The sequence below is a fragment of the Homo sapiens genome, chromosome 9 (assembly GCF_000001405.40).
Source record: "Homo sapiens chromosome 9, GRCh38.p14 Primary Assembly".
In the NCBI taxonomy this organism is placed as follows: Eukaryota; Metazoa; Chordata; class Mammalia; order Primates; family Hominidae; genus Homo; species Homo sapiens.
In genome coordinates this window covers 27449658-27462005 of record NC_000009.12, presented here as the reverse complement: position 1 = coordinate 27462005, position 12348 = coordinate 27449658, and the positions used below count along the sequence as shown (strand labels likewise).

The 12348-nt window shown below is 41.2% G+C and overlaps 1 protein-coding gene across 6 annotated transcripts in view; it reads left to right on the top strand.

The window, feature by feature from the left end:
- MOB3B (MOB kinase activator 3B) overlaps nucleotides 1-12348 on the top strand; it is a 204606-nt gene that overhangs the window by 67809 nt on the left and 124449 nt on the right. For all 6 annotated transcript variants that reach the window (NM_024761.5, XM_047423892.1, XM_047423895.1 and 3 more), the window contains one exon: nucleotides 6258-6873. In NM_024761.5, coding sequence (NP_079037.3) covers nucleotides 6456-6873 — 418 coding nt within the window. In that variant the 5' untranslated portion in view covers nucleotides 6258-6455. The remainder of the gene's footprint in view (nucleotides 1-6257; nucleotides 6874-12348) is intronic.

The following is a 12348-nucleotide window of genomic DNA, read 5'->3' as shown; positions in this document are numbered from 1 at the left end:
ATTATTCTCTTTATTTCAGAAAACATTTTTTAAAACTCTGTCTTTTGTTCCATGGACTGTCAGTAGGTAATGTTTCAAACCATACCAAACAAATCCCACTCTTTTCTTTTACTCTTTCCATTCTTTCTCACCACTAAGTGTCCTCTTCTGAATGATGATGAATCATTATAGGTTTTTGCTGAAAACACCTGTGCATTCATCTATTGTAGCTGTTGCTGCTGCTACAGTGTATAAGGTTACAGGTAATGCTTTCATTTTGGCACTATTTACTTACACATTTGATGCTAGAATGTCTGCACTGATGACCAAAACAATAAGCCTGTGAAACAGCAAGAATGCAATTCAAACGACCATTGAAGAGCTAGAAGATGAGCAGAATAGTCCTGTGACAGACTTCTGTACGGTTACACCTATTTGTACTAACTTCATCTGTGTTCAGAAATAATGTGAGCATTCTAAGCTCTGAAACCATGCATATCTTTGAAGATTAAAATGAGGCAGCAAGGTTTCTCCCAACTAATGTAACAAAATGCAGTGATATGACAGCTCAAAGTTGAGGAGTTGAATTCGTTGGGGAAAAAAATAGCAAAGCTGCTTCTCAGGCAGGAATCTCTTCCATTCTGGGGTTGTCCTGTGGGCAAAGATGGCACCTACTAAGTAGGCATAAGGTAAACAGTGCATAAGGGCTGATGGAATTGCATCTTAGGCACATCCTTTATTGGATCCTGGAAAGGTCAGACGATGTTCATTTTATGATACACACATACATACACCCCTCTAAAATAAAAACCCAATCTACTTTAATTCAATATTTGGGAAGTGGGAGGACGATTCCAAGGACTATTCCAGCTATAAAGAGAACAATATAGTGGGAAAATGAGAAATCAGACTGGTCATTCTTTGATTCTGAAGAGGTGGAATTTCAGATAACACAGAGGAATGGAGCAGCTCATTTGAAAGAAAAGTTGAGCTGAAGTCTTGTCCTTTCAGGAGGCAGACTTGTTACTTCAGGGTATCCCAGCGGCCTCAGTGAGTTGGCAGTGAGCTTACAGATTGACATAGAGTCCCCAAATAACTGAAGACAGGAGATCCACTTTGGTTCCTCTTTTGTGGTTTCACTGTGATGTAAAATGTTCGTAATTCACTGTCATTTACTCATTCATTCAGCAAACATTCAGTTAAGTCAGCTCTGTGCCTGGCAATGAAGATGACACTAAACCTCCTTCATGCGGGGTGTTTCTGGGGCATTTCTCTTATGGCCTTCCTATAGGAAATGAATCATCCTGGCAGCTGATCCTGCCAGGAGGAGTCCTCCACCTCACAGATAAGATATTGAACTGCCTTTCCTGCAACTGGTATCAGCTTCAGTCCCTCTCCTTTCCTAACCCCCTCACCCTTCAGTACCACCAAGGTCTCTTAGAGGTGGGCCTGGCTAGAGAAGATGGATCTCTCAGGAGTGACTGGGAGAGTTGTTTTATTTCTTCCTTATCCCTGGCAAGGACTCTTTGATTTCTCAACTAATGAGGCAAAAGACATCAATAGGAAAAGAAAAATTAGAACTTTCCTTGCCAGTGCGTTGCTTAGCTACCTTGTCAACATTCCCTTGCAGCCCAGCCGAATTCTCTCTGCATGTTTTTATAGTGCACATGTTTTATTGTTATAATTGATCTATTAGGCAGAAAATATGGAGAGCACATGGAACTTCTGTCAGTTTTGTGCTATTTATTTAGATTTCTGTTTTTCTCTTTCCAAAGACCTCACCCTTTATTGTCCTGTTTCATCCCTGACCTAAGTAATACTCTGAAGGAGTCACATCAGTATGCATGTTGGTGCATTGAACTTTATAGTATTAAAAGCAAAAGTCAATAACTAACCTCAAAACTACATACCAAATTGTGAATTCTTCATAGACAGGGACCACATTTTTATGAACTCTATGTCCTTAGTGCCTAGCCCTGTGTCTGACACATAAAAAGCTTTTAGTAAATGTTTATTGATCAAATGAACCATTGGTTTCAAATATTTATTAACAACCAGAATTGTCATGGGTGCAGTTCATGACATAGAATTTACTTTCCATTTCTACTTAGAAGGAAAACTTTATGACTTTTTTTTTTTTTTTTTTTTTTGGAGACTGAAACAGGACAGAAAATAACCACTGTGTTGTTGCTAGTGCTACAGTTTATTCAGCCAAAGAAACCTTTCTGCTTGAGGCCGCAATAGCAGCAGCTGCCCTCTACCTGGCATTTATGAAAAGGTATTCACTGGAGACCTCCTAGGTGCTGGGTGCTGGGCTATACAAGTCAGTCCAGATCAAAAGACCTGGTCATTGTCACCATCTGTCAAGGCGATTGTATTCAAAACAGTATCTCTCATTTTTTTTTCTCGAACATACCCACACTCAACTGAAGACTGTTTATGAAACAATCTGTTGACAAAACAATAAATGGAAGTTTGTTTATTCATTCCTTTACTCAGCCAGGCAGGCAGCCCTCCAACCCAGCACTTCTCAGATCATATACTTTTGAGATTTTGTTAAAATGCACACTTAGATCTACCAGGTTTGGGGTGAAGCCTGAGAGTCTACATTTCTAACAAGATCACTTAGTTAGATCAGGCCTTGATGCTTTGAGTGTCATCCATGGACCAGTAGATTCAGTACCACCTGGGAGACTGTTAGACCAGCCTAATCAGAACCTGCATTTTAACAAGATCCCTGAGTTCACATTGGCTAAGCACTGTTCTAACTATTTGATTAGCCCACAGCATAAATTATGGGCAGGGGTCCCAAGGGGGCTCTGGGCTGGGAAAGTAAGTCCAGGTGCATTTACAGTTCCCTTTTTAATTTCAAAACTCTCAGGTACCTGCGCCAATATGGCATCTCACACTCAGGAAAAGACACAGATGGGTGCCTCTTTGTTCTGTCGTTCAGTGGCATGATACATCTGTTATTATCCATCCTGGATTGCCATTGTCTTTAAACATGGGGGGGGGCCTACCTGATCAACCTATTTCTTCTTAAGAAAGCTTCATTTTAGATTCAAAAGTTTGACCTAAAGAGACAGCCTCATGTCTGACCATGTCAGAATCATTTACAAATTTGAATCAAGCACTAGGAGATCTGAGTCTCTGTTTCCTTGTCTGTAAAATGGAGATAATACCACCTGTCCTTCCAGTTCAAGAGACTGGTATCAGGCCAGAGCGGGAGGATTGCTTGAGGTCAGGAGTTCAAGACCAGCCTAGGCAACAAAGTGAGACCATGTCTCTACAAAATACAAGATAAAATACTTAGCCAGGCATTGTGGCATGCACCTACGGTCCCTGGTACTTAGAAGGCTGAGACAGGAGGATCGTTTGAACCTGGGAGGTCGAGGCTGCAGTGAGCCATGATCACACCACACCACTCCAGCAGTGGCATGATCATGGCTCACTGCAGCCTCGACCTCCCAGGTTCAGGTGATCTTCCTGTCTCAAAAAAAAAAAAAAAACATATCTTCAAATTTGTTATATGAGTATCTCTAGAAGAAAAATTCCCAAATTTCCAACAGTGTTTTAATATTTATTTAAATATTTGCGAGTGCCAGTCCACGCAAGGCTTTATGATGAGGAGGATTTGTTGTGATTATTCGGTGTTATTCACATGCTCCCGTCAGAGGTGTCAGAGGGGTTTGTTGATGGCATCCACAAGAGCCTGGCACAGGTGCGGAGGAAGGTTTCCACAATGGTGTCCATGCAAGCAGACACTCCTGGCTGAGGGAAAACAGAAGGATTAGTGGCACCAAGGGTATGTATGGCCATGAAAGAAAGTTGCTCTGAGGACTGTGGGCATTGATGGTACCCTCATTATCAGATTAATAGAAGAGCAAGTCTCATTTGTTCAAGACATGAGGGGGCAGCTGTTTGGTGGTTACTGTTTTACTGTCAGCAATTAAGCATTTGAGACATAGAAGGACTATTGTCTGTTTTTTTAAAAAACAAGTCCTCACCACCCTTTCTCTGTATTTCCAACCTTCAGCTCATTCTTTTATTTTGGAAATTTCCTTCTAAAACCCTCAGGTTTCTTAAGCCTGTTTTCAGGCAAGCTAAGTCTCTTTTAGGAAGGTATTCTTTAGGAAAAGAGATCACTCCATTCTTTCCCTAGACTTTGCAGAGTTTCTGTGTTGATATCCTTACAGGTGCTATTCCAGGGTACCCAGAAGTGTGATTTCACAGACTGTCTCAGGCAGAAAGTTTCATGTGACCTGCTTTTCCACATGGATCTCTTTGGTGGGGAGTGGGTCAAAGGTCAATGTCCTGTGAATAGGAAAAAAAAAACCCACCTTGCGGATATGGCATTTCAGTGAAAACCTGTTAGGAAGAGGGTGGGGTTAAGAGGGAGGAAGTGAGCAGGCAGAGAGCCAGAGGCCTTGGGACTGGGGGTGGGGCGGGGATTCCACCGCCTGGTTAGCAATTCTGAGCGAAGAGCAGAGTTGATAAGGGGGAATCAGGATGTCTTAGGTATATTGGCCTCAATAACTTAAGGTTGAAAGTACCATCAAGCCCTGTTTGAGTGTGGAATGGCAGAACCCCTTACAGGCAGGGAAAAAACAGTTAGTGGGATCATGCTCCAAGCCCATTTTAACAGATTCCGTGTTGGGCTCTTCTGAATCTGGCCACAGCTGTTGGCTCATTTTGTTGGGGCTTGACCTATGAGTGGATCAGTTATCTCCTCTCTATTTCAAGGCCACGGAACATAGCCTTCACCTCCGACCAATCTATACAGCAGTCTTTGGGGAATATGTGGATAGAAGCTTTGGGGAAAACAAGCTTTGTAAACCAGTAGGAAAGACAAGTCGAAGTCCATTACTTTTGGGAATATATGGCCATGTAGAGAAAGCATTTGCTAGGAGTCAACAAACTGGATTTCAATCTAACAGCATGCTCCAGCTAGCTATGGGATCTTGTTAGGCAAGTAATTGTATCTCTTGGAGACCCAGGAAGAATGATACCCACTATAAATCTATTAGACCTATTATAAATCTATAAACCTCAGCAGATTTTCGTGAGGATCAACAAGTTAGTGGAGAAGAGGGCATCGAAGACTTCAGAGCTGTGCCATCCAGTGTGGTAGCTGTGAGCACCTATTTAAGTTTAAATTCATTAAAATTAAATAAAATGTAGAATTCTGTTCCTCAGTCACATTAGCCACATTTCAAATGCTCAATAGCCACATGTGGCTAGTGTGTACCATATTCAACACCATAGATATAACACATTTGCATTATCACGGAAACAGAAAGTTCTATTGGACAGTTCTGCCTCAAAGTGCTGTCTAAAGTGTGAGATGAAGGGTATAAAGGACGGCACATTGGAAGGTGACAAATACTGTCATAGTTAGGAATGTTTGGCAAGAAACAGAACCAACTCAAGTTAGCTGAAATACAGTAAGGCTTTGACTAATTCAGGAAATGTGAATGGATCCCAAAAGGCATGAAGCATAGCTAGGCTTCAAAAGGAATTGGAACCAGTTTCTAGAAGATTATCAGGATTAGTTCTTCTCACTGTCTCTCTTTTTCTCTTGTCTTCCTCTCTCTGTGGCCACTTAGGCTCTTGTCTCTGTTTCTCTGTGTATTGGCAGCCACCTTCTCCACCTTCTCCTTTTCCTCCTCTTCCTCCGTGGCTCTGCAGACCAGCTTTCTCAACTGCACTACACACGGTCCAAGCAAGATTCAACCAGACCCAGTTTTCATCACTTCTCACCCAATGCCACATCACTAATGCCCAACCAAGGCTGAGTCCTGATTCCAAATTCCCAGGAGAGACATTCTTATTAGCCAGCTTGGTGTGATAGCCACCCCTTTTCCATCATCTGTATCTAGAAGGATGGGGGAAGTGTCCCCATGCCTACTTAATAGGAGTTGTTGGGGGGTGGGGCTCTAAAAGCTAGCACACGTGGGATAGGATCAGGCCATTGATCAACATGTTCATCCTTAACACCTTGGAAAGGTCCACTAAGCCTATGATCACACAAAGAAGAGCCAGTAGAGATTTGACAAAGGCCATGAACAAAACAAGTGTGATGCCTTTTCTTCTTTAGTTATTTGCATGGTTTGCATCAACAGTACAGAGTCACAGGGCAGTGGCTTAACCCCCATGCCCATATACCTGGATGGAGAGTGGGCACAGCCAAGAACACAAGGTGGAAATCAGGTTGAAGACTGTCATTTTTTAAAGGCGAACTGGGCACTCATGTGTTCCCTTTTCTCTTCTACCTTTAGGAAAGAACATGAGGTTCCCTTGGAAATCATTCAAGAGGAAGATGGAAGGGGCTGTTTAGAAGAGCTTAAAAGCTACAGGCTGTAAGACTGGGGCCTGAGTGCTGGCAGTGGAAAACACTGTTGGGCTGTGATCTCTCCCTGAAAAGTTCCAGGTGCCTTTTCGCTTCCTGCAAAAGAAAGGAAGCGAAAGAGAAGACCATGTCCATAGCCCTGAAGCAGGTATTCAACAAGGACAAGACCTTCCGACCCAAGAGGAAATTTGAACCTGGCACACAGAGGTTTGAGCTGCACAAACGGGCTCAGGCATCCCTCAACTCGGGTGTGGACCTGAAGGCGGCTGTGCAGTTGCCCAGTGGGGAGGACCAGAATGACTGGGTGGCAGTACATGTGGTGGACTTCTTCAATCGGATCAACCTCATCTATGGCACCATCTGTGAGTTCTGCACCGAGCGGACCTGTCCTGTGATGTCAGGGGGCCCCAAATATGAGTATCGGTGGCAGGATGATCTCAAGTATAAGAAGCCAACAGCGCTGCCAGCTCCCCAGTACATGAACCTTCTTATGGATTGGATTGAGGTTCAGATCAACAACGAGGAAATATTTCCAACATGCGTGGGTAAGTTCATTACCAGCTCTCAGTTTTTTTGTCACCTGCACAATCTTCACTATGAAAATTTGCAGACTGCCTTTGAATGCTAGGTAGCACCCATGCATTAATCCCATCACTCACATACCTGTAGTGAGTGATATATAAGAGCCTCATTGAAATGAAAAAAAAAACTTTATGGACCACTTACATTTATTTTGTGGACTCCAGTGGTACACATACCACATGCTGGGGAACACTGACTTGGTGAAATATTAGGTGTGATTGTGTTGGCTTTCTTAGGACTAGATGTCAGACTCACTCACTTATCTTGATAAGATTATTATTTTTTGGTTAACTGACTAAAGTTACATGGACTCTGATGCAGTTACTGGTATTTATATCTGAGGATTAAGAAATTCCAGTGTGAGAATTCATAGATTTGTTTGGGGATCAAACAAACTGGGGGTTCAAATTCTGAGGAGAAAGAGATCCTGAAATTCTCCTCCCTCTTCTAATCATAGGTTGTTAATTCCAGGCTGTGCTGTTTACTTTAACCCTTGCGTATCTTCTGGATACACTGGGACACTTGAAATGCAAATTAGTTTGTTTGCTTTGTGCTACAGGCTAAAACACTTCAAAAGGAAGGACCAGTCAGTCTTCTCTGCCTCTTACATTTCTTCATGATGCTGGTCATTAGATTTTTCCATGCACTTTCAGACTGAATTTAGAATTTAGTGTTTTATGCCGTAGGCTGAATAGGAATCCGCAATCTCCTATGTCCACTGTTGTAGCTCCAGTGCCTAACATAATGCCCTGCCACCTTGTAGACACTCAGGAAATATTTGTGGAATGATGGAATAAATACTTGTGCTATTAGAAAGTATGATTTAAAAGCCCTGAGATGGTTGGAGTACAAAAAACGTATTTGAAACACACTGTTGAAATCACCTCTAGATTGGGGTAGGATGTGTCCCCACATAGCACCTGGAAAGTTGAGAAGGGCGTGTATGGAAGTAATTAAGTTTATACCAGAAAAAAAATGTATACATTGATTGACGCAGTATGTACATCTTGAAATATTCGGCACACAAACCAGTTTGTCAGGATCTTGGTGTTGCTTTGGCTTGTCCAGTTCCCTCATACTTCTCTCTCTCCTACCCCTTCTTAACAGGAAGGAGGTAGGTTGTATGTCAGGGCAAATCCCCCAGTTCACAGCATAGGAGGAAGAAGGCAGGTTTCAAAAACTCCCCTGGGCATAATATTAAGCACCTCAGAGTGGTGGAAATTTCTTAGGTTCATGTCTTTTGCACTTTTCATTGACTGTCATAGGCTACTTTTGGAGCTGGAAGGATTTTTTCTTTTCCAGAAGCCTTACTAGCAACTGCCAGTGCTCTATGCTGAACATGTAATAGCAATAAAGATAAATAAATGTAGGCAAGGATACCTCCTCTTTGTCCTTCCCCCTGTGTCTTCACCTGTATGCTTTGAATTCTGCATACTCCTGTTCTCTCTGCAACTGTGGCTACCACAGAGAGTACTGACCAGAAGTCATAGTACAAAGCCATGGTGTGTTACTTGAGAGAGAGGAAGTTTCTGGCTGTCTGGCTGGAAAACAGGACATCATAGGTGGTTTTGGGCTTTGCTTGGAAGAAATTAATGGATGCCTCTATGGATGCCTCTATATCCCCCAGGGTAACCGACTTTGCTTTATTTTTCTAGACATTTTCTTAGTCATTCAGTATGCTTAGGGAACGTGCTTACCTGGTCAGAATCCTCTGTTTCAGCTCTACCCCATCTAGCCTCCATTGCATACTTGTATTTTGAGAGATCGTAAAGATTTCTTCCCCCAAGGAAAAATAAGTTTGGGAAATGCTGAGTGAAATTGATTTCTTTACCACAGGACTTTTAATATGCCAATGTGCATTATGAATTTCCAAGAAAAGAATAGTATGTGGTGGTTCCTTATTTGACACTGGTACCTTTTTTTTTAAATTAATGAAAGACCATTAGCATCTTTTGGAAAACGTTAAGCTGTATATATTACAGTTGTCAAACTTTTGTTTATATCAGAATTATTTGGGCCTTCTGTTCAAAACGCAAATTCCTTGAACCTCTCTTCCCCATTAACAACTAAATCAGAATCTCTTAGGTGAGACCTAAAAGCCTGCACTTTTTAGAAAGGAAAACTGTAGTCACCACATTGTATAATTTATCTCTTGAATTTACGCTTTCTATCTAACTGAAGTTTTGTATTTTTTGACCAACATCTCCCTAACGCCCTCTCTATACCTCCAGCTTCTGGTAATCACCATTCTAACTCTCTACTTCTATGAGTTCAACAATCAACATTTTAAGATTCCAAATATCAGAGAAACTATGCAGTATTTGTTATTCTGTGCCAGGCATATTTCACTTAACCTATGTTCTCCAGGTTCATTCATGTCACAAATGACAGGATTTCCTTATTTTTTAAGGCTGAATAGTATTCCATTGTGTATATATACCACATTTTCTTTATTCATTCATATACCTGTTAGCCATTTGTATGACTTCTTTTGAGAAATATGTCAGATCCTTTGCCCATTTTTAAATTATGTATTTTCTTTCAATTGAGTTATTTGAGTTCTTTATGAACCTGTACTTTTAATAAGCATCTTCTGTTTATTGTAACCACTCAGAATTTTTCATTCCCCCAGAAGTGGTTTGTTTCTTACCACTCTGGTTTTATTCATGTTTTTCTCTCCTTCTGTAATCACTCACTTCTCTGTCTAGTGAATTCTCATGTATCCTTTGAGGTTCAGCTCAGATACCATGTCCTCTGTGAAGGCTTTCATCCATTAGAATACCAGCTCTTTAAATTATGCAATATGTCTAATTCATCTGACTATCACCCACTAACTCTAGTCCTGGTAACTTTCAAGTTATTGGATGGATGGATGGATGGATGGATGGACGGGTGGGTGGATGGATGTTTGGATGGAAAAATAATCTTTATAAAGGCCCAGCACATGGATGATTCTGGTGATCAGAGCAAAGTTAAACAAATGTTTCTGAATCCTTTTGTTTTCATTCCTGGATATTTCCTGCACCTTGCTTCCATAGGGTTCCATTTTCTCTGTTTAACTTTTCCAAGGTGAGATGTTACGGTCAGTAAAAACCATCACCGTCCACCTTCACTATGAGAGTCTTCAACCTCCTGCTCACCTCTGTGATTTGCCCTCAGTTGCTACTGTTGTGGTCTTTTGGAAGAACGTATTATTAGGAGCTACTTTCTCTGTTACACTCCATTTCCTCCTCTTTTTCCTTCTCCTGACTCCAGCCTACTTTTCTTCTTTTTGATCTTTGTGCTATCATGAGTCATTATCATGGAGATAATCAAGATGTCTGTCAGGGTAAAGCAAAAGAAGAATTCTAAGCAAACAGGACCCTGGGTGGATGAGAAATGGAGAGTTCTGCTTAGAATTACAGCTTTGAATACTGGGCATATTTCTGCTTGGGAATTGGGAGGGGTTCAAACTTCATCTCCTCCCCACTGTGATCCAAGGAAATAGAACCGGAAAATACTGACAGATGTGAAAGCTTCATCCTTAGTTAGCTATTAAAGGATATAAACAGCTGTTGATCTCTACCATTGAAACATTGAGGAAAGAAAGCTTTCATCTGTTCCTAGATTCAGTCTTAACTAGGTGACCCGTGCTATTTCAGAAGTCGAACTTTCTCAGATGGCAGAATACCAAACAGATGTGGATACCTTGTAAACCATAGTTTCCCTTACTCTCTCTTGAAACCTTTTCTGGCTTCTTTTATTACAAACCCAACAGATGTCCCTGTGAAAGCCCTTGAAAGAGCAGTAAATTCTGAAGCAAGGGCCACCTCCTTTTCAATTATATTTCTTTAACCATTTTTAGACATCACAGCCAAGACAGTAAAATAGAAAGCCATGACTTAAAAAAAAATTCTATTGCCTGACTAATTACAGTAATTTTTATGGTCCATCCCCCAGCTTCCCTGTTTTTCTGTTATATAATAGGATTTAATATTTTAGACCTGATAGAAAAAAGCCAGTAGCAAACTTAGAGGTCCTCCAACTCATGGGTTTTTTAAGTCTTTGAAAAGAAGGAATAAGAACATGTATAAAACAATTACATGATCTCACTTACCTCTGGGGTTTTAGAATAAGTGGGTGTCAGGGCAGGAAAGAACAAAGAAAGCAAGGGAGGGAACTGAGGGAGGGAATTCACATCTATTGAGCCTGCTAAATACCAAGCCCTGTGCCTGCTACTGTTAATGTTTCTTAATTCTTACAACCCAATAAAGTAAAAATGAAGTTAATATCTCATTTTACCAGTGAAGATGCTGACATTTAAACAAGCTGAAGAAGGGCTTTCCTTAGGTTGTACAGCTAATACATATTTAGGAGTCAGGGTCTGAGCTCATGAGTGTCTGGCCAGAAATCTGTGCCTTTGTCCTATGCTGCCATTCATAGCATGTATTATTATTTCACAGATTCCCCTTCACATGGTAAAGGCTTTTCAATGAATGGTTTTAGGAGGTTGTTTAGGATGGAGAAAATTTTATAAGACCTGTTTTGTTTTTGTTTTTGTTTTTTTGGCTAGAACTTTTAGATAAAGGATTCTTTTTTTTGATTATTATTATTTCTTAATCATCTCTGAAATGCCTGAGGACTGTGTCCAGGTACTGTAAATATTCCTTCATTCCATTCTAAGACTGGGCAGCAGATTACTTAGCCTCATGAAAACCCTCTGCTGGCCCATAACTCCCTGGTAATGCCATTTATTATTAATTTATTCTTTCAATGAGTGTTTGCTGAGCACCTATTTTAGGTTCCAAGAGAGAACAAAGCAGGCAGAACCCCTGTTCTTGAGCAGTTTACATAATGTCCAGAATGTCTAGTTGCTCTAAATTGATTCTGTACATATTTCTAAAGTAAGTAGTCTGTTCAGTGGTCAAGTGCATTGTGGAAATAGTTGCATCCCTTTGGTAACCTTTCCGATGAGACTACAGCTGAGTCTCATCCTCCCTCACATGCTGTGGCAAGGGATCTGAAAATATAAAAACAAGTCAACCATAGGGATAATCTTCTCAGACATGGGATGTTGGGGAGTTGAGTTTATGATTGGCCTTTACATTTTAAGTTTTTTTTTTTTTTTTTTTAATTTTTGAGACAGAGTCTCGCTCTGTTGCCCAGGCTGGAGTGCAATGGCATGATCTCGGCTCACTGCAGCCTCCGCTTCCCAGGTTCAAGTGATTCTCCTGTCTCAGTCCCCTGAGTAGCTGGGGTCACAGGCACCTGCCACCACACCTGGTTGATTTTTATATTTTTTTAGTAGAGTTGGGGTTTTGCCATCTTGGCCAGGCTGGTCTCGAACTCCTGATCTCAGGTGATCTGCCTGCCTTGGCCTCCCAAAGTGCTGGGATTACAGATAATGAGCGACATCTCCCAGCCAAGTTTTTATTTTCTATTGTATGTCTCTCACATGG